The sequence below is a fragment of the Homo sapiens genome, chromosome 20 (assembly GCF_000001405.40).
Source record: "Homo sapiens chromosome 20, GRCh38.p14 Primary Assembly".
Taxonomy (NCBI): domain Eukaryota; kingdom Metazoa; phylum Chordata; class Mammalia; order Primates; family Hominidae; genus Homo; species Homo sapiens.
The window spans coordinates 42,864,194-42,887,336 of record NC_000020.11 but is presented as its reverse complement, the minus strand read 5'-3'; the positions used below and the strand labels follow the sequence as shown (position 1 = coordinate 42,887,336).

At 43.0% G+C, this 23,143-nt stretch overlaps 1 protein-coding gene across 11 annotated transcripts in view; it reads left to right on the top strand.

Annotated features, from left to right (window-relative positions):
* Window positions 1–23,143, top strand: part of PTPRT (protein tyrosine phosphatase receptor type T) — a 1,158,017-nt gene that overhangs the window by 302,570 nt on the left and 832,304 nt on the right. For all 11 annotated transcript variants that reach the window (XM_047439848.1, NM_001394024.1, NM_007050.6 and 8 more), the window contains exon 2: window positions 1,405–1,530. In XM_047439848.1, coding sequence (XP_047295804.1) covers window positions 1,405–1,530 — 126 coding nt within the window. The remainder of the gene's footprint in view (window positions 1–1,404; window positions 1,531–23,143) is intronic.

The following is a 23,143-nucleotide window of genomic DNA, read 5'->3' as shown; positions in this document are numbered from 1 at the left end:
TGTCCTCACATGGTGGAAGGGGCGAGATAGCTCTCTGGGGTCTCTTTATAAGGGCACTGGTCCCAATCCCAGTCCCAATCATGTGGAGTCTGCCTTCATGTCCTAATCACCTCCCAAAGGCCATGTGTCCTAATACTATCACTTTGGGGTTTGAAACTTCAGCATGAATTTTGCAGGCATTCACACATTTAATCTATAGCAGACATTGGTTCTCTGTGGGGTGGGAAACCTGTGAGCGTTTAAAGGAGGAGGATGGTGATGTGATGCACCCTGTGAACATTAAAGAGACAAGAAAGGGACATTGGAAAAGATGGACTGGAGTGTGAAACAGGTCTGGGAGACCAGCCAGGAGGCTGCTGTAGAACTCAGTCCCAGTTCTGCCTCCCTGCATTTGTGCACCCTGCAGGCTCAACTCAGAATGCCATTCCTCCTGCCCTCCGCCCATGGAGATGCTCCCATCCTTCAAAGCCCTGTTCACTTCTCCTCCACTTCTGCTTTCTCCTCCAGAATATAATGGGCTCATTTCTCTGGACAGACCAGTGTTTCCTAGTTGGAGCCTCCATTGTACACCCCACATCTCTCTCAATGTCACCTTGATGGGACTTACAGCTCAGAGCGTATGCTCAGTGAATCCTTGTCAACAGCAAATGAATATAACTTATTGTCAAATGGTGGATGGCTTGACCTTTAAAGTTAAAGGGAGAAGCTTTAAACATGATCAACATTGACTTTATTATCTTCCAGGTGCATGATTGTCTAATTTCTTACCAATTCGATTCTCACTCCATGAAAAATGATTTTTCAGACTGCTTTTTACAGAGAAACAGGTGGGCACTGAGAAAGTATTCTGTGGCAGTTACTTTTCACATGTTATTCCATTTATTCCTCATGGTATTTCTGTGAGGTTGGACATTTCCCTCCGTATCATAGGTGAGGAAACGGAGATGCTCAGGTATGAAGCATCTGGCCTGAGCTCACACAGCCTTGTGAAGGTGATGGCTGTCTAGTTTTGCCAGACTGGGAAGTGAGTGCTCCTTCCGCTGCCTCACAGCATCTCTCCGTGCTGCACAAAGCAATTACAGAGGCATGCCCCTGCATTCATTTTTCCTACTTAGAATGAGACGCTGCTGTTTACTTTCTCAGGAAGGAAGATTGAAATCAATGTAACTAGCCTTATTAACTTTTTTAAATACGGAGGCCTGCAGATGCCAGTGCCTTTCCTGAGAGCACCAAAGCAAATATAAAAATCCAATTTGCTCATCTTTTATATATATATATATATATATGGAAAATCTTCTCCAGAGTTTAAAATTCAAAGCTGTAAATGAAGAGCCGACGAGACAGAGGTAACGAACCAAGCCTCAGACACGGGAATGTATTTACCCATATCTCTTTTGTCTACAGGTGGCTGTTCCTTTGATGAGCACTACAGCAACTGTGGTTATAGTGTGGCTCTAGGGACCAATGGGTTCACCTGGGAGCAGATTAACACATGGGAGAAACCAATGCTGGACCAGGCAGTGCCCACAGGTATGTGATCCATCATGTTTGGGGCTGTAATGGGGATGGCTAGTTTTTACCGTGAATCATGGGGGGAAGAACTTACTTACACATTGAGCTCTCTGAGATGGCAATCGATAGCTCTGTAGGTAGTGAGTTCCCCACACTCAGAGGTGGTCAAACCAAGGCTGAATGAATTCTTCAGGATTTGATACTAGTCACATGTCACCTGGATTCAGCATTTCTTTTAGCGTCGAGATTCTAAGCTTTAGCTACAAGTAGGTATCACTGGGTTTTGCTTGGGAGCCTGATGACAGTGGCGTGTCAGGGAAAGAGCTTCTGAAGAATTTACGGTCGCTGCTTTTCTTCCAGGCCACATGGACATAGGTTGTATATATTTAGGGAAACTTCAACAGTACAGACTATTATAAGGTTATATTAATTATATTATTATATTATTGTTATATATTATCATATTATTATCTATTATTGTGTGTTATATTATTTACATATATTTTATATACTTAGGGAGACTTCTACAGTCAGATTATTATAAGGTTATATATTATATTATACATTATATATGTTACATAGTATATATATTATATAATTTATATATATATTTAGGGATACTTCCACAGATTTTTATAAGGTCATATTATTATATAATATATTATTATTATATATTATTATATTATTATTATATATTGTATTATAAGGTAAACATCCTGACATTCTAAATACCAACCTTTTGTCCTTAACCAGCAGCGCTGAAGGCCTAGTGTGAATTCTTGATGGATACCTGCATGGGGCAGGCCTGTGAGGTACACCTGATATGTTTCAGGGGAAGTACCCAAAGGAGGTCTTCTCAGAGAGAACACTTAGACTCTAAATGTGGGGTATACCTGCGTAAGGTGCATCTTGAAGAGGCTTACCTGGTGATAGAAGCCAGGAAGAGTTGTGACTCTGAGAAAGTGAAGCTCACTTTTCTGAATAATCACATGTCCCTGCTGCAGTTGTAAAGACAACTGCTTGTTGGAGAAGGGAGGCCATTTTCTACAGTTTCTGCTTGACCAAAGGCTCCCTCACTTTAACCCACACCTGTCTTGGTTTTCACCAATCCCCCAGGTGCTCTTTCTCAGTCTCCCCTGTCAGTGCACTCTGGCCATGGAGTATTAAGAGTTCTTCAGGCTTACTGGGTGTTCTTTCTGTGGTTGGCCTCAACCACTCCCATGGCCTCAGATACTGCCTCTGTGCTGGTGATTCTGACATTTATGCCTCCAGCCTAGATGTCTCAGGAATTTTACACCTACACAACCCACTGCCCAGCTGCCATGTCATCTTGGCTACCTCTGGAGAACGGGGTTTTCCAGGATGCTACTAAAGTGGGAGCAAAGAAGATGCTCAGAGATGCCCAGGTGAGGGTGTGGCCTCATTCACTTTGAGTCTGGCTCCAAAACAGGAGGCACTGGATGGTTATGGATAGCTCCTATTAAGGGCATTAATTGTATAAATTTCTCAAAAGTGTTGATACAAGCCTTAGGTGTAATAAAGTTAGGCTGTGGTACAAAATTGAGCATTTCAGATCTGGTGGGACCTTACTTTGAATGAGCAAAGTCATCAACAGGTGTGCATGCCTATTAGCAAGGCAGTGTGGAACAACCTCTGTCTGTTGCCCAATCATGCTGACTTTAAAAAGTACTGCCTGGTTTACATGATAGAATCACCCATCCCATTAGGGACCCCAAGAATCCAAGACACCTCTGCTTAAACATAGCACATCTGCTCTACTCTTCATGGCCCTCCTTGATAGTGGCCCAATAAATCTGGATCTTATAGTGTGTATACGTGTGTGTATGCGTGTGTGTGTGTGTATGGGGGTGTATGGGTGTGGTGTGTGTGCATGCCTGTGTACTGGTATGTGTGTGTGTGTGTGTGTATGGGGGTGTATTGGTGTATGTGTGTATGCATGTCTATGGGGGTGTGTGTCTATGTGTATGGGGGTGTGTGTGTGTGCATATGGGGGTGTAAGGGTTGTGTGTGTATGGGTGTGCGTTTATGGAGGGTGTGTGTGCATGTGTATGGGTATGTGTGAGAGTGTATGGGGGTGTATGGGTGTGTGTGTATGGGGGTGTATGGGAGGTGTGTGTGTGTGTCCGTGTGTTTGTATGGGTGTGTGTATATGGCGGTGTGTGCATATGCATGTGTATGGGTGTGTGTGTATTCACATATGCTCTTTCTGCTCATCTTTAGTCCACTTAAAGCCCTGTAGCATGTTGTAGGCTCTCCAAGCTCAACATCTCCAAAACTGAACTCTTGATTTACCCATTTCCCCTTCCCTGTCTACTCACTTTCCACTGTTCCTCGTCTCCAGAAAGCTCACTTCACCCTACTGGTACTGATTCAGAAACCGGGGGGCCATGTTTCTCTTTTTTCTCTCTCTTACCCACTTTTCCAATCAATCACTTTGTTCTGCCATTTTACTTCCTAAGTATAGTTTGGGTCTGCCCAAGCCTCTCCATCTCTGCCACCACTGCCCTGGTGAACACAACCATTGTCTGTTTCCTGGGTAAGTGGAAAACTTTCTAACAGACTCCTTGACTTAACTCTTTGGACTTTAATCCATTCTCCAAACAGATGTCGAAGAGATTATTCTAGAATATAAGCATGTTCATGTTACTTCTTTTCTTCCTTGTCTCTACCCAGCTTCTGTCTTAAGGCTTTCTGAGGCTTCTCATTGCTCCAGGAAAGACCAAAGCCCTGTTGTGGTCTCCAAAGCTCTGAGTGCTGATCCTCCCTAAACCTCCAAATCATCATCATGCTCCACATCCCACTCTGCTCACTTTACACTGGCTTCTGCCAATTGCCAGAATGTTCTGACTCTCTCCTGCCTCGGGAACTCACATGAGATTGGCATCCTCCACGGAGCCTTTCCCCTACCTACTGTCTTGTGCGTCCTCTTCATATCTCAGTCTGGGTCAGCATTCTTTGTAATGGTTCCCGTTGCACCTTGCACTTGTCCTTAGTAGCACGCATCACAGCAGGTGTTATTCATCCAGTGCATGGTTTACTCCCAGATGAGAAGTTCTATGTGAATGGGGACCATGAGAATCTTGTTCATAACTTTATCTTCAGTGCCTAATGCAGTACATCAGACATCCTATGTACTAAATTAGCAATTTGTTGGATGGATGTGTGGATGGGCAAATAGTCTTTATTAAGTGTTTTTATTAATACAGGAATGAATGAAAAAAGATTAAAGGCCTTTGGGTGCTTTACTAACTGATCATGTATTTTCCTCTTTGCTACTATCCTTCCCATTTTACGGATCAGAAAACCAAGTTCTAAGAAGCTGAGTAAAAGTGTGTCTTTTTACTCATGCTACTCTCTCTCCCCAAAGACATGGCTTTTGCTTCTAATATTAATTTTCTCAGCCCCTCATTATGGCAGGGTGTCATTTCATAAATATTGGATCATGCTAATACAATCTTCTGGGCTTTTCTAAATAGAGGCATTTGATAATGATCACTGAAATTATTCTGTCATGATGCGCCTGTGGATTTCAGCAGCTCTGTGTGCCTCTTAGGCAGAGAGGCATGAAAGCGAATTTGGATTAGGCAAAACTGTTTGTTCTTCTTATGGGCATAGGCTGAAATCTTGCTTTTCTTTCTGTAAAGCCAGCAGTTCTCCTCATCTTGGAAGTCAAGTTTGAGTCTGTTTATTCAGATGTTCCACAGCTTTTTGCCCATCCCCTTTGTATGACGAGCTCCCTGCTATACTTGGTCTGGGTAACTCATTCCATGTCATTTTGGGACTTAATCCTGCTGATGGCCTCCCCTGGCACATAGGATGAAATCTGAAATCCTTGTCATGGCCTATAAGATCCTGCATGATCCAATGTCTTCTTTGGGCCCCTTTTCTTCTCCTCTCTCATACCTGGTGTGTTTTAGTTCCTGAGATGTGTCAGATTCTTTCTTGGCACGGGTCCTTTGCACATATTGTTCCTTGTTCCTTCTCACCAGAATTTGTTTTCTCAATTCTTCACTTTGTTGATTTCTCTTTCGTTCTTTGGTTGTCTCTCTCTCTCTTTTTTTTTTTTTTTTTTTTTTTTTGAGACAGAGTGTCGCTCTGTTGCCCAGGCTGGAGTGCTGTGGCGTTATCTCAGCTCACTGCAGCCTCCACCTCCCAGGTTCAAGTGATTCTCATGCCTCAGACTCCCAAGTAGCTGAGACTACAGGCGCACATCGCCATGCCTGGCTAACTTTTGTATTTTTAGTAGAGATGGAGTTTTGCCACGTTGACCAGGCTGGTCTCGACCTCCTGACCTCAGTTGATCCTTCCGCCTCGGCCTCCCAAAGTGCTGGGATTACAGGCATGAGCCACTGCATCTGGCGCTTTGCTGATTTCTTCATGTCTCAGCTCACAGGACTCCTCAAGGCAATCTTCCCTTATCCGTCTGTCTAAAGATGGACTTCCTCCTTATTCTCACTCATAACATCCTGTTCTTTGCTTTCAAAATCGTTATCATAGACATGTTTGCAAGTCAGTGTATTCCAATCTTACACAACAGCTGAGTGACCCTAGGGTCTCAACTCCCAGTTTCCACATCTTTATCTTGGGGACCAGTGTGAGAGTTAAATGGAGGATGTCTGCATGAGTGTGAACTGTCTGCCTGGAGTAGGGGTTAGTCAATGCTGGTTTTTCTAAATGTTTTCTGGTTCTTGCAATCTCTGGGGCTGGAAGTCCAAGTCCACCTGAGACCTTGCCCCCACTTCTAGCTCACTGATGCTGCTTTACAAAGGCGAGCTGCTCAGCAGGTGTTCTACTGTGGGTCCTGACAGGCCAGAGAGGCTTTTCAAGTCCAGGATGCATTGCTGCATCGAGGGCTTAGACATTTCCTCCACCCCACCTCTGTGAATTGAATGTTACACACACCTACTGTTATTTGCCATTGAAAGTAATGGCAAAAACCACAACTACTTTTGTGTCAACCTAAATACAGACTTTTCCTCATCTCTGTCCATGGGAGAAGCTCTTGCACTAGCATTCCAGGCTTCAGACCTGGTTTCACTACCTTATCGTTATTGAGGCTGTCACAGAGGAGCAGGGGTTAGTACACTCACTCACAAACCCTCTCTCTAGCTGTCTATCCTGCCTATGGAACTAACTACAGCTACCACCAGTTCCTAGCCCTGCCTTCCCCATCTTTGGCATGGGTTTCCACAAGTCATCCCTGAGGTACAGCCCTGAATTACAGCCCAGGGCCCAGCAGGAGGGCATCCTGGGGGCTGAAGGAAGATGTGAGTGCTGGAGGTATCCTTCGGAAAGGGCTGAAGCCAGAGGTAGTGGGGCTTGGGTGGCTTGCTTCTATATCCTTTGAATACTTGTAGGACATTCTTTTAAACATAAGGTATGGATTAGGGTTGAATATCAGGTTGCAAAATCAGGTACATAAGAAATACTCACTTATTTCTCTTCTTTACATAAACCTGAATCTGACCCTCAGTCCCCAGGGAGCTGAGACTATATTTTAGGCACTGTTGGAGCTCCCTCTTCCCTAGGGTTCTATGAGTTTCCTGGGGTTTCAGCAGACTGTTGTGATTTTCTCTGGGAATCCCACTGCTGCATTCCCTTTAGGTCTAGTGATTCTGCTGCTGCTTTCTCAGGCTAGGAGCCATTGTCACAGCCCAGCCAGCCCAGGTGCACCACCCACAAACCCCCCCGGGCCTGCCCCTCCTCAGGTACTGCCACGGAGGAGTGTGGCACCAGCAGATCCATACCTCCCACCTTCGTAAAATGGGAGAACCTCTCTCCTCACCATCTTAGCCTTCAAAAGCACACCCTTCTTGGCCCAGTCCTTCCAGACCCCAGCATTCTCTCTTAAGTAAGTTTAGAGTTAGAAAAAACAAAGGAGGAAGGAAGGAAGCCTTGATTTCAAGCAGCTTCTTCTATTTTTCCTACACACATTTCTAGAGCAGAAAAATACAAAAAGCTTAGTGAGTTTCCAGATTGGAAGGAGGAGGAGTTGGGAGAACACACACACAGGTGACACACATGCACATGCACACACACACACGCGCACACACACACACACACACACACATTTCACCCAACTAGCATGTCATGGAAGCAGCACCGTCTCCAGGGTGGTCCTGGCCTGTTCCTTCACACCATGGGGCCTTTCCCTGTGGGTTCCTGCCTTGCTCTAACTGCTCATGTGTCTAAAGGGAGGGTTGAGGTCTGTTTGGGTTGAATGGTGTCTCCTAAAAAGATAAGTTGAAGTCCTAACCCCTGATATCTGTAAATGTCACACTTAATTGAAAATAAGTATTTATAGAAATGATCAAATTAGGATGAGGTCAGGCTGGTCATATTGGGTTCTAACCCAATACGACTCGTGGAGGCAAAGATACATACACACATAGGGAAGGAGGCCACATGCAGATGGCAGTGGAGATTGGGGCAATGCAGCCATAAGGCAAGGAATGCTGAGGATTGTCAACAGAAACCAGAAGTCAGGCAAGGCAAGTTGACGGGTTCTTCTCTAGAGCTTTTGGAGACAACGTGGCCCTGCCAATACCCTGATTTTGGACTTCTAGCTTCCAGAACTGTGAGACAATAGGTTTCTGTTGTCTTAAGCCACCCAGCTCATGGTAATTTTTAATAGCAGTTCTAGGAAACTAAAACCAGGTCAATTACACATCAGTACCCTGACCCCATCACCTACCCAGGTTACCTTTTCCACACGAGCTCTGTAAGTATTGGAAGCTTTGCTTTCTTCTGTTTTTTTGTTTTGTTTTGTTTTTTTGAGATGGAGTCTCGCTCGGTCGCCAGGGCTGGAGTGCTGTAGCACGATCTCGGCTCACTGCAAGCTCCGCCTCCCAGATTCACGCCATTCTCCTGCCTCAGCCTCTCGAGTAGCTGGGACTACAGGCATCCACCACCAGGCCCAGCTAATTTTTCTGTATTTTTAGTAGAGACGGGGTTTCACCATGTTAGCCAGGATGGTCTCAATCTCCTGACCTCATGATCCGCCCACCTCGGCCTCCCAAAGTGCTGGGATTACAGGTGTCAGCCACCACGCCCGGCCAGCGTTGCTTTCTTCTAAGGGAGCTGGCATTTACTACTTGTCCACTCTAACTAAGAAGTGGGTTAGGCATCATCCTGTACAACATTTTGTCTAATGTCCCACCATCCCATGAGTTCGAGATATTGTCACTTGTTTTTGAGAAAACAGAGTCCCAGAGAAGTGAAGCAACTGGTCCAAGGTCATGTGAGTTTTATGTGGCTGAGGAGTCAGGCTTGATGTCCAGGCTAGAGAAATATATATTGCAGACATGGTACTGTTGTCAACTAAGCATCTTTAAAAATTGTTTCTACTTGCAGTCATGATTTATGATGGCAAAAATAATGTGTATTCATTGTTGAGAAAATGCTCAATAGAGATAGCTATAAAGAATGAAATGAAAGTCATATGTTCACACAAACTTGCATAAATATGTATTTTGCTATTTAATACTTTTTTCTTTAGCATTTTCCCATGTCATTAAATGTTCCATAAAACCATGTTTTCTAAAGGTTTCATAGTTTCCCATTGCAATGACTGTTCCACGATTTATTTCATCACCCCATATTGTTGCATATTTAAGTCCTTTCCAGTTACTCCTGAATCATGTTGCGGTGAGTATTCTTGTACATACATCTCTGTGCTCATCTCCAATAGAAGTTATCGAATTTGTTTTCATATGTATATATTTCTGTATTCCCTTATATACCCAAAACAGAATGGTTGTGTATTATCTTTGACATCTGGAGAAGGAATATCATCCACATGGCAAACATGTAGTCCTGGACATTTGCCCATGACTTGATGGTTGGGAAAATGCTTTGCAAATTCTGAAGCACTAAACACAAGCCAGGCACTGTCGATGGTCCCCTGATTGCACCTTGTTCTAGCTCTTAGCTTAGGTACTCCCTGGGCTTTAGCAAGAATAGTGTTGGAAATATTGTCGAATAGAATGGTCCAAGCACTAGTCAATCCAGGTGGATGCTAGCTGTAAAAAGCTGTGTGGGCTCCCTCATGTTTATTGGATGAACTGCAAGCTTGTTCACGGGCCATAAACAGAGCTAGCTTCGGTTCTTGTAGGCAGGAACAACATTGTATTTATATTTGTAACCGCAATGCTGGGGCTTAGTAGGTAGCGGCAAATGTTTGTTAGATGATTTGCTCTTATTAATAATTGAACTTTCTCATGATGCGACCCCAGCATGTATCTTGAGCCTCAGTGCCCCCTCCTGCCCTTTTCTCTTTCATTTCCCCTTCTGTGTAATCACACGAGAGCAGCCTTTGTGTTATTGTTTTGGGAGTCCAGTCTCCAACCCTGTTTCTTGATTTGGGGTATCTCTCATTGTGTTGAGTCTCAGTGGATTGTGTAGCTCGCTGAGAGGTGAAGATGCCAGCTGCTCATCATTTCCTGGCAGCCTGGGTGTGGCTGAATAGGTAACCTGGATGCAGCAGGTGGACCCTGCTGCCCAGGACTTTTCATCTAGGAAGGATGGGCCAGCAGCCAGAGGCTGGAGAATTGGGGTGTGCAGTAGTAGGGGTGGTGTCTGGCCATGGTGTTTGTGCTACAAAGTTGCTGGACTTCTTGCTTGTTGATCTCCCAGAACTCCCTTTTTTTTCTGCTTATTTTTCAGGCCTGATCCTTCAGCTTTCTGTTCATTATGAGCTTCTCAATATTCCAGAAACTTCGTATTTTTTAAAAGATAGTCATAGTTGATATCTCTTGTTTCAACCACAAACCCTACAGGTCACACTGTCGTGCCTTTGTACTTGCTGATCCCTAAGGCTAAGAGCACAGCTCCACTTTTCCTTCCTCCTAAATCAAACCCCGGCACAAATGTCACCTCCTCCAGGAGGCCCTCCCTGACTCCCCTCACAGCGCTTACCTCTCTACTATGCTTCTGTAGCTGAGTTTATCACATGTTGTCTCTGATTCCCTACTAGGCCTGTGAGTGGCTGCAGGGTATGGACTGCCTCTCGTTGCTGAATTCCTTGTATCCTGCATGGGGCCTGGAATAAGGAAGGCGGTTATTTAAAAATAACTGAATTATTGTTAAAGTTATTCGTGTTGGGAAAGTTGGGAGAAAGTGGTTTCAGGAGGACCCTAAAGGGGCTGCCACTTGCTTTGGCATTTTCGTGGCACCTGGGGCATCTGTAGCTTTCATGTCTTGAGCCCGACTCTGAGCTTGACGAGGCTTTGGTCAGGATGGGCCACTTGGTCCCAGGTCCTGATTGGTCTGGGTTCTTCTGCTCTGAAGTTGGTCCCAGGATCCTTCGGGCAAATAAAGAGACACTGGGGATGATCCCTTCCTTCGCTCTGGGGCCTGGCACACTCTCATGAATGTGTGGCACTGCTTGTGACACATGTAACTGGCTCCTCTTGGAAAGATGTAATCTATTCTCAGATTGACCTACTCTTCCTTTAATGTGAGGCTTACAATAAAATCATATGGAAGTATGGGCCTTTAAGTGTCCTTAATCACACCTGATATTATTATTGATTGGTTTAAAGTTGTAAGTTCTTATGTTCCCATTTAGCAATTGTTGAGTCAGTACATTTTTTTCTTTCCTCTTTAATGACAAAATATTATATATTTATTCTTAAAAAATGCTGAGTTTGAACATATAAGTTACCTCTCTCCACCCTGATTACAGTTAGCCTAAATATCACCATTAACATATTGATGTGTTTTGAGAGAGAAAGGGAGAGAGTGAAGGAGGATGGAGAGAGGGAAGGAGGAAGACAGAGAGTATCTGTATGTGGTAATAGTAATAGAGACGTACTACCTATGTAGTGCTTACTATGTGTCAGGTACTATCCTAAGTACTTGAAATATAGTAACTTATTTAATCTTTGCAACAGTCCTCTGATGTAGATGCTGTTATCTGCATTTTACAGATCAGGAAACCTAGGCACAGAAAACTTGAATGACTTGCCCAGGTCATCGTTAGCATATGGTGGAGGCAGGACGTGCCCTTGGAAAGGGTCCAGGCTGTGCTCTGGACAGCTGCACTGTGGCCACTTAGGAGTGTAGACAGTGAATAGAATCATAGCTCCCAAACTCTTCTGTCATCCATCTCTTTTTATGCCACTGTATTCAGAGTTAGTTTTCACCTTCCAAGGCTACATGATATTCTCCTGGGTGAATGAACCATGGTTTATTCAACTAACACCTAAGAGATAGAGGTGGGAGAAGAAAGAAATGCCAGAATGCCTTCTGTGTGCCCAAATAAAAGACAAGATCTTTGTCTCCAAACAGCTCTGAGAAAAGTTCTTACAAAACATCTCATATTATAAGATGGTTTTTCGTGTACTTGGAGCTACAAAATTAATTGTAGAAACTACATTAGCCTGCAGTGACCCCAATCAGTGCTAGTTTGGGATGTTTACAGGGATCACAGAATTGATAGAAAAGGCAAGGAAATTGAACGCAGGTTTAGTAATTATTCCGGAGGATATGAGCAAGTAATGACGAGTGTTGGTGATGGTTATGAACAAGTTTCCTAACAATGTCCTAACAATGGCTTTGAAAAGCAACATGATGTCCTTTTGGTGATCAGAATATACAGCTGCCAGATAAATGGGAAAACCTGTCTGTGCTAATATCCACATAGATGCTTGCCTTGACACTCAGTTTTCTGTGACATCATACCTAGATTCAAAAAGTATTATATTCCAAATGGTGTAATGGGAAGTGAAAGTGATGGAGACTGGCATCGTTCAACTAAAAAAGTGCTTCTTCTGATGACAAACACTGCTGCATTTGACGAGTTAGAATAAAGGGGTTGTCTGGGAGGCAGAGGTTGCAGTGAGCTGAGACTGCGCCATTGCCCTCCAGCCTGAGCAACGAAAGCAAAACTTCATCTCAAAAAAGAAAGGAAGAAAGAAAGAAAGAATAAAGAGGTTCTAAAGTCTATGTGAATGGATAATAAACCACTATGTCTTTTAACCTAACATGTGTATACCACTTCCTGGACAGTGTTCTAAGGGCTTTACATGTTTTTACATCGTTTAATACTTCAACAACACTGTGAGCTGGATGTTATTATCACCCTTATTTTAAAGAGGAGGAAACTGAGGCCCAGAATGTCAACTCTCTCAAAAGTGAGTTACAGTAAATGGAGGAGCTGAGATTTGAATTCAGGCCGTCTGGATCCAGAATCTGTGCCCTGAACCACTCTCTATTTTTCAATTAATATTTTATGAAACGTGATTTTAAAATGTATGTGTAATTAAATTGTATATTAGATACCATAAGTGGACTTTTGCCTAATTCAATCATCTGTACACTTAAAATTGTATTTATTAAAGTTGCCCGAAAACTTTTTTTTTGAGGAGAGGATGTCTTCTCACTGGAAAAATGGAAGAAATGCTTTACTTTTAATGGAGGGTTGATCCTGTCAGTTTGTTGAATTGTCTAAGTCTGTCAGTGTCTCTGTAAATGCAGATACAGTGAACCTGCATGTTGTTCGGAGTAAATTCTTTGAAAAGGAAGCATCACAAAAACAGTCGTGTGTCAGCGACACATTTAACAGGACCACAGAGATGACGTTCTTCAAGATTCCTCTGTTTCCTGCTGCTTCAACTTTAGCCACTCCCAGGGCAGCCGGAGAGGAAGACGTTGCTGAGAATCATCCTGATCATGGTGATGCTGGCTGGATGCTGATGCTAGGCGATGTCTTCGTGGACCATTCAACCGATTGGGCTGCTGCAGGGGCTAGAGCTCCTGCAAGTGAACCTTTCATTTTTAAATGTGTGATCTGTCTTTTCCTTAGTAAAGAAACAGGTTTTCATTATGCTTTGGCTATTATAGTAATTTGAATTACAAATATGCATTCTAAGATATTTGGTAAGAAAAGGAAATAGTTTAGTATAAATATAGTCTTTTTTCCCCAGTTTAGTAAAAACAAGATGGCTGAGATGTCTCTAAAAAATAAAGTCCAACAATCTGGAAAATCCAGTAATCCATTGAGGTCCCATTTGCCATATCTAATCTGGTGGTCATTAGCCGCACATGGCTACGGAGTACTGGAAATGTGGCTAGTCCTGTAAGTGTAAACTACACACCAGATTTCAAAAACTTAGTATGAAAAAATCATGTAAAAACATCTTATTAATAATGTTTATGTTGATTACATGTTGAAATGATTATATTTTAGATGTATTGGGTTAGATAAATTATTAAAAGTAACCCATTTCTTTTTTACCTTTTTAAATGTGCCTATTAGAAAATTTAGAATTGCATACGTGGCTCACATTGTGTTTCTATTGGTCAATACTCTCCTAGATTATTAGATTTTTATGACGTCACTTGTATTCCCACCAACAGGGATATCTCTCTTTGAGAATAGTAATAGCTAGCATTTATAAAGCACTCATTCTGTGCCAGGTGCTTTAAAGCCTTGTTTCCTTTATGGTTCACAAAACCCTATGCAGTGTAGGTAACATGTGTTCCCACTTTATAGATGGAAAATTGAGGCACGAAGAGATTAAGCAACTTGCCCTTCATCATAGAGGTTGGAAGTGCTGGGAAGGGGATTTGAACCAAAGCAGCTCAAGTCAGTGGCACCCACTGATGACTCCCAGGCATCCACCTTTTAGCACATGGACATAACACTTCTGTCTCTGCCTTGCTCTGTTGACTTGAACCTCTGGACCTCAGTTTTCCTACCCAGGATTGGGTGGAAACATGTGATTTTAAATATGTAGAACATATTAACAACAGAGCTACCTCAGGCCCCTCTAGCTCTGTTCTTCCTGTGGTTATTATTGTGGTTCTGTGTGGGCTGCAGGCACATGGTGGAATTGGGTAGGCATTATCTCTACTGCCAGGCCTTTGGTTAGCATGGCCTTCTGCCTAGTGGCTAAGGAAGCATCCCTGGGAACTCATCCCAGATCTGTCACTAACCTCAGACTTTGAGCTGCCTTTCTCTGGGCTTCCTACACCCACTTCTGTGAAATGGATCTAAAAATAAGGAGTCCTGGATTCTGTCCTAGCTCTGCCATTAACTTGCTCTGTGACCTTGGGCCACACATCATCCCTCCCTGGACCTTATTGACCATTGTAATATCAGAAGTCAGTTTCTTCTGACTCTAGCATTCTTTGACTTGTAATTTATGAATCAAGAAGAAGGCATTTCTAAACATAGGAATTTAGTGATACATTTATAAAACAAAACATTGGTGAAGACTCCTGTGGTCCTAACCCCTCCATTCGTCTGTCTGTCAAGCAGGGCAACTGCTTCTGCTTCTTTGCAGAGGAATTTGTCTTCATGAGTATATGGAGGTAGGGCACCTGACGTACAATCTATCCCTGAGAGCCCAGACCTTCACAGAAAGATAAATCTCCCAGTTGAGCTTAAGGCACGTACTCTGTTCTCACGCATCCTTGCAGAGCTGCAGTGATCTATCACATGCCCCATTAATTTCACAGGTACAACTCCAGAATTTATTTCCCCACAACTACTAATCAGTGAGACATTTGGTAATTGAGAGAAATTACCCTTTTCTAAAAAGACCTCCTGTTTTCCCTCTTCATCTACCTAGTTTTGACACTGTGCTCTGTGCTGACACGATCATACTTTATGTTTGGAAAGCAACAGATATTTGAGCAAACTGTTTTTAAAACTTTCCTCAAATCTGCCAATATCTTTTAAAATTGCTTCCTTTCCTAGGTGTTGTGTTTCCTTATTAAGAAACCCAAATTGCACTTTCTCAGGATTCAAAGCCTTGTAGTCAATGAAACAACTTGTGAAAGCTATGAACAAGCAAGAATATGTTATGTCTTTTAAGAACTCTGAGAGTGTCTAAGGTTAAAATAAGACCTATAGCTTCCAAGATCCTTCTAAATCATAGCTGCAAACATATATAAGCATGATGTGTCCATCAGTTTGGATTCAGGTAGGAAAACGGAAACCATTCTAGGTATTTCAATCAGGAAGGGGTTTAATACAGGGTATTAGAGGTTTATAAAACCTTTGAAGCTCTCACATACATGGTCAAATAATCTTCACTAAGGGTACCAAGACTACACAATGGAGAGAGAATAATTTCTTCAACAAATGGCATTTAGTAAATTGAATATCCACATGTAGCAGATCCTTAACTTACACCATACACAAAAATTAATTCAAAATGGATTAAAGACCTAAACATGAGAGTGAAAACTGTAAAACCCCTAGAAGAAAATGTAGGTAGAAAGTTTTATGATGTTGGATTTGGCAGCGATTTCTTGGATATAACACCAAAAGTACAGGCGACAAGAGCAAATATAGACAAATGAGACTATATCTAACTTAAAACTAATGTGTTTCAAAGGGAACAGAATTAAAAGACAACCTGTGGAATGGGAGAAAATATTTACAAACCTCTCTTGTAGGGTTACTATCTGGAATACATAAAGAATGCCTACCACTCAACAATAACAAAACAAATAACCTGATTTTTTTTTTTTTTTTAAAAAGGGCTGAAATAGACATTTGTCCAAAGAAGATAAACAAATGGTGAGAAACATGAAAATACGGCCAGGCACGGTGGTTCATGCCTGTAATCCCAGCATTTTGGGAGGCCGAGGTGGGCAGATCACCTGAGGTCAGGAGTTCAAGACCAACCTGGCCAACATGGTGAGAACCCCATCTCTACAAAAAATACAAAAATTAGTCAGGCATGGTGGCGTGTGTCTGTAATCCCAGCTACTCACGAGGCTGAGGCAGGAGAATTACTTGAACCCGGGAGGTGGAGGTTGCAGTGAGCCAAGATTGTGCCACTGCACTCTAGCCTGGGTAACAGAGCAAGCCTCTATCTCAAAAAAAAAAAAAAGAAAAGAAAATATGTTTAGCATCACTAATCATTAGAGAAATACAAATCAAAACCACAATGAGATATCACCTTACACCCATTAGGGTGGCCACTATAAAAAGACAAACAAAAAGAAATAAACGTCAAGCATCTGGAAAAATTGGAACCTTTGTACATTGTTTGTGAGAGTGTAAAAATGGTATAGTCTATATGGAAAACCAAAAATAAAAAATAGAACCACCATATGATCTAGCAATCCCAGTTCTTGAAATAGAATCATGTATCATTTAATGATGGGAATACATTCTGAGAAATGAGTCATTATGCAATTTCATCATTGTGTGAACATCATAGACTGTATTTTTGTAAACCTAGAAGCTATAGCCAACTATCCACCTAGGACCACCTTCATATGTGCAGTCCGTCATTGACGGAAACACCATTATGCTGCACGTGACAGTATATCTAAAATAATTGAAAGCAGAATCTTGAAAATATATTTACACACTCGTTAATTGTAGCATTATTCACAGTAGCCAAGAGATGGAAGCAACCCAAATGTTCATCAACAGATGGACGGATAAAGAAAATGTGGTATACGCATACAATGGAATATTACTCAGCCTTAACAAGGAAGGAAATCCTGGCACATGCTACAACATGGATGAACCTTGAAGACCTTATGTTATGACAGATAAATCAGTCATCAATAACATGTACTGTATGATTGTACTTATGTGATGTATCTAGAGCAGTCAAACTTACAGAAATAAAAAAATAGAATGATGGTTGCCAGGGGCTGGGGAGAGGAGGGAGATAGGGAATTGTTCAGTGGTGTCTTAGACCATTCATGCTACTATAAAAGGTACCACAAAATGGGTAATTTATGAATAATAGAAATCTGTTTCTCACAGTTCTGGAGGTTGACAAGTCCAAGATTAAGGCACCATTATGTTTGGTGTCTGATGAGGACCCCATTTCTATTTCAAAGATGGTGGCTTGAATGCTATGCTGTCACATGGAAGGACAAAAAGGGCCTACCTAGTTCCCTCCAGCTCTTTTATAATGTTGCTATTCCCATTCATGAGGGCTCTGACCGCATTACTTAATCATCTTCTAAAGGCCCCAACTCGTAATACTGTCACTTTAGAGTTTAAGTTCCAACATGTGAATTTTGCAGGTACACCTGCACTTAAGCCACAGCGTTCTCCTCCAGATGCCCCAAAATCCATGTCCTTCTCATATACAAAATACATTCATTCCATCTCAATAGCCCCAGAAGTCTTACTCCTGTATCAGCTTTAAAGTGTAAGTCCAAAGTGTCATCTAAATTAGATATGATTCATCTTGAGGCAAATTGCTCTCCAGCTGTGTGCCTGTGAAATCAAATTGTATACTTCCAAAATACAATGTTGGGACAAACACAGGATAGACATTCCTATTTTAAAAGAGATAAATAGGGAAGAAGAAAAGGTAATAGGTCCCAAGTAAGTATAAAACACAAGAAGACAAACAGCATTAAATCTCGAGGCTTGAGAATGATCTTCTTTGACTCTACGTCCTGCCTTTTGGACACCGTGCAGCAAGGGTGGGCCAAAGACCCAGGCAGCCCCATTCTTCATGGCTTTGCTGGGCGTGCCCCACAAAGCAGCTCTCAGTGGTTGGGGTTGGGTGCCTGTCTCTCTCCCAGGCTTGTGTTGCGTGATGGTGGCTCTACAGGTCTGAGGTCTCAAGGGTTGCCCATCTCCATGGCTCCATGGAACATTGCCCTAATAGGGGTTCTCTGCAGTGGCTGAATTCCCATGTCTCCAGGGAATTGCACTAGTGAGGGTTCTCAGAGCAGCCCCACCCACCCTGGCAGTTCTCTGCCTGGGCACTGAGGCTCTCCAGGGCATCTTTTGAAATCTGGGTGGAGGTAGCCATGCCCCCACAGCTTATGCACTCTGCACACCTGCAGGGTCAACACCATGTGGATGCCACCAAGGTTGACTGTTTATGCCCTCTGGAGGGGAAGCCTGAGCCACACTTGGGCTCACTTGAGTCACATCTGGGGCATCTAAGGAGCACTACACCAGAATTCAGTAAGCAGAGACTTGAGGTGGCACAGAGCAGCGAGTGCTGAGGTCTCATGGGTGCCCAAGATCCCTTTTTTCATACAGTTTTGTCCCCCAGGCCATGGCATTCTGGGCCTGTGATGAGAGTGACAACTTTAGAGATCTTTGAAATGCCTTCGGAGTCATTCTTTCATTGTCTTGATAAATAGCATCTGGCTTCCTTACACCCATACTAATAACCCTATCAGGCATCTTAATATTTTTATCAAACATTGACTCAGCCACACTGTTGGTATTCTCTCCATAATATACCTTTATGTCCTGGCCAGGCTGGGAATTTTCAAAATCTTTAAGCTCTGCTTCCCTTTTACTTATAAATTCATCTTTAATTGATTTCTTATCTCACTTTTACTATAAACAGTCAAGAGAAGCCATGTAGCACCCTCAACACTTTGCTTAGATACTTCTTTCACCAGATATCCTAGTTTATCACCTGCAAGTTCTCCCTTTCAGAAAGCATTGAGACATGGGCATGATTCAGCCAAGTTCTTGGCTATCTTGAAGACTATGAGTTTTCCTCCAGTTTCCAATATCTTATTTCTTGTTTCTGTCAGAGACCTCATCAGAATTGCCTTTACCATCCATATTTCTACCATCATTCTGTTTGTGACTATACTTATAATATCTAAGAAGATTGAGCCTTTCTCTCCAGCTTTCTTCTTTTGAACCTTTGCCAGAAACACCCTTAATACTCTGTTCACAATAATCTAGACTCTTTGCAGCATGAATCTCTAAAGTCTTCCAGCTTCTACTCATTACCCATTTCTAAAGCCACTTCCACATTTTATGTATTTGTTACAACACTCTACTTCTCGGTATTAATTTCCGTCTTGTCCATTCATATTGCTGTAACAAAATGCCACAAAATGTGTGATACATAGGCTGGGTGCAGTGGCTCATGCCTGTAATCTCAGCACTTTGGGAGGCCAAGGCGGGCAGATCACCTGAGGTCAGGAGTTTGAGACCAGCCTGGTCAACATGGTGAAAACTCGTCTCTACTGAAAATACAAAAATTAGCCAGATATGGTGGCAGGCACCTGTAATCCCAGCTTCTTGGGAGGCTGATGCAGGAGAATCGCTTAAACCTGGGAGGTGGAGGTTGTGGTGAGCCGACATAGTGCCTCTGGACTCCAGCCTGGGTGACAGAGTGACTCTGTCACAAAAAAAAAAAAAAAAAAGGCCATATGTAAATTTTTAAATTTATGTCTCATAGTTCTGGATGCTGGGAATTCCAAGTTTAAGATCAAGGTGCCAGCAGGCTCAGTGTCTGGTGAGGGCCCAGTCTTTGCCTCTGTCATTGGTGAAGACTGAGCTGGAACCCTGCCAGAAAGTAAGATGTAGTTTCTAGGCTTCCAGCCCCAGTGATATGTGGGTGAGCTTAGGAGGGTAGGAATGATACAAGATACCATGACACAATTCTCAGTACAGTGTACTCTAAGTGAGTAAAAAAAAAAAAAAAAAAAAAAAAAAATCTGTGTTCTTTTCACATAGAAGAAATGAACAGAAGTGTGAACATTGAAATCAGGCTGATATTAGTTGGAATGCCAATTCTACTAGTGACTAGCATTCTGATATGGAGCTGGTTTGGTAACCTGTCTGAGCCTCATGCTCGTCTCTAAAATGAGGATAAGGGACAAGAGCCTCATAAGACTTATGTGGGGAATTAACTAAAATTTCACATACAAAGCACCTTGTACAACAATGGATATTTTATGGCCACCCTACCTTGCAGTCACTTTAGAATTTTGATGAGGAGTTTCCAGCACCAAGAGGTGTCTACTTCCAGTGAGATACCTCAAAGTATGTGGTATGTTCAGAGAATAACAAGTAGTCCTTACATGGTAGGATGACAGTGATGACATTAGTATCAGGTAGCATTTTGGAGCATCTGTTTTCATGGCACTGTGCTGAGCACTTTATACTTGTCATCTTTCTTTTATTAAGTCTTTACAACAGCCTTTTGAAGGAGCTAGTGGTAACAGCCCATTTTACAGTTCAGAAAAATGAGGCACACAAAGATTAAGTAATTTATTTAAAATCACACAGAAGTGGCAGTGTGATTTTATCTAAAATCACACGTAAGTGGCAGAGGCAAATACTCAAACCAATACTCTTGAATAATGTAGTATTCTAGGAAGGGATACCATGGTCATGTGGCATAGGATGAGATGTGATGAGAAGGGAGGTTGGGGCCACAACTTGAAGGATGTTGCATGATAAGAGTGAGGATTCATCAGAGATTAAGTCAGGGAATGTTTGATCAGATTTATCTTTTAGGATAACCACTTGTTGGCCAGTGTGAAAGGCAACTTGGAGCAGCAGGGAGCCTGTGGTGGGAAGGAAGGCAGTGGACCAGGAGGGAACTGATCAGGCATGAATGGGGATGTTAGCTGTAAAAATGGGGAGGAGGAAAAGGGGGTTGGAGGTATCGGTGAGCTCAAGAAAACTTGGTGAAAGAGATGAACAAAGATACTGGATTTGGGTGTGGAGTCAGGTGCCTATTCTTTGAAGTTCTGTGACTCTAGCCAAGCCACGTGGGTTCCATTTCCTCATCTGTATATTACACACATACCTATAGAGGTGTGCTAAAAATGGCCAGGATGCTCATGCAGAGACCCTACCTCTGTGCCCACAATACTGGGTTCTTAGCAAGTGAAAGTGTTGGCCCAGTGTTTGATGCTTACCAGACCTTGGGTCTCAGTGAGCAGGTAGACTGAACATCTGCATCAGAATCACCGAGGGTATTTTTAAAAAGCAGATTCCTGGGTCCTATCCCAACATGTGGCACTGGGATGGGGCCCAGGAAACAGCAGGCAATTTTAGTACATTGATCTTGAGAACCACTGGGTGTTTGGGAAGCTAGGAAAGGGGTCAAGGCCAGGGTCAAGATTTCACAGGAGAAAGGGAAGAGCAGAGGGGAGAGAGCAGAACTCTGCACATTGCCACAATCTAGGGTGTGGGTAGAGGAATGGGAGCCTGAGAAGGAGACGGAGGGAGTGCATTCCTAGAGGAAGACAGGAATAAGCCGGCATTCCACCAGGAGCACCCAGCTCCTTCCCTTCTTCTTTCCCCTGCGGAGAATTGGCACCCTGGGACACCTCTTTGTTGGAGCTGTTGCTTGCATCCCTGTAGTTTCTTCCTCTACCTGCTGTACTTTGCCATCCCCTTGTCATCACTGCCATGTTCTTTCCTTTGCCTTGGAGACCACTGGGTCTCAGAATCCCATTGTTCTTCCAGCCCCTGTCCCAGGTCAGGCAGTGCGGGAGCTCAATACAGAGGAGCTCTGTGTAATTTTGCATTTAACACCCATCTTCCTCAATGAACTATAAGCTCCATCAGAGCAGGAAGCAACTTTTCCATTCACAGCTATGTGTCCTCAGCTCCTAAAACTGGCACCAGAATGCCCTCAATGAATATTGAATAAGTGAGTTAGGGGATGAGTGAAGTGTTCAGCTATTTGGAAACAGATTTAAAGGAAACAGAAAATCTGAGGTGGCTGAAACATACACTTGTGGTTCAGAGCATGGTGCTCAGTGGGTCTCAGGAGATCCGGGTCTGCTGTGCTGCTGACCTGCTGTGTGGCCTGAAGCAAGTTGCTTAGTCTCTCTGGGCTCCAGTGGCCTTAACCTATACAAGGAAGAGCCCTGATTAGGTAATACTCCCAGTTTTCTAACTCTAATACCACACAGGTTCTATAAAGCAGTTCTGCTGTGGCATACTTTGTTCATTACTGCAACCAGGGACCACATGAAAAGACTTCACAATACAGGAATGAAGAGAGTCTTGACTGCACGTGGAGGTGGTAGCAGCATGGAGCAGATGGGGCCTGGCAGGCCAGAGAGCCACCTGGAGTATAGTTCCAACCTCTGGAAAATAAATCTTATTTTTCTTTTCTGGGTGATGGCAACAAGTAGAAGAAAGCCTGAATTTAACACTCCATGCTGATTGAAAAAATTATCTGATTTTGACCATTTCAAACAAAATGTCACCTTTACAAGCCTGATTTTTAGATTTGTGCTAAGTTTTTAGACTTTGCAATATGGAAAATAATAACAGAAAGGTTATTGCCTGAATTGAAAGACTACTTTCCTGTGTTTGAAATAAAACTTTGATAACCTTGGTCTTTGATTCTCTGTACAGTTGAATTTCAGAAAAGAGATTCCAGAGGCATATACACGTTCAAGGTTCAGGGACACTATAGCCAGAGGGACTAGTGTGGGGGACCTTGAGCAAAGCTATTGAGCAAAGTTTCTCTATGGCTCAAGGTTTTCTCTTACTTATAAAATGAAGGTCATGCAATTGGGACACATAGGGATTGAATGACAAACATTTGAGAACACACAGAACAAAATGTTTGGTGCGTGGACCCATGTTGGGTCTCCTCCATCACCATCAAGCAGCTTCTTCTTGTCCTGTCTCAGAGCTGGGACTCAGCATGGAGGTGCCTTGGTAACCTGTGTACTGATGGAAAACCCTGAGGACTTGTTAGGCCTGCCATCCCTCTCCTCTCTCCCCTCTCCCCTCCTCTCTCTGTGTGTGTGATTACATGTGTTTAACACTAGGTGGGCTGTAATGTTCATCATCGCCTACTGGCCTTCTTTGAAGACCTGAGGCCCCTTATATTGAGTGGCTGCTGGAGGTTCTTTGTCCAGTGTGTGCTTACTGAGA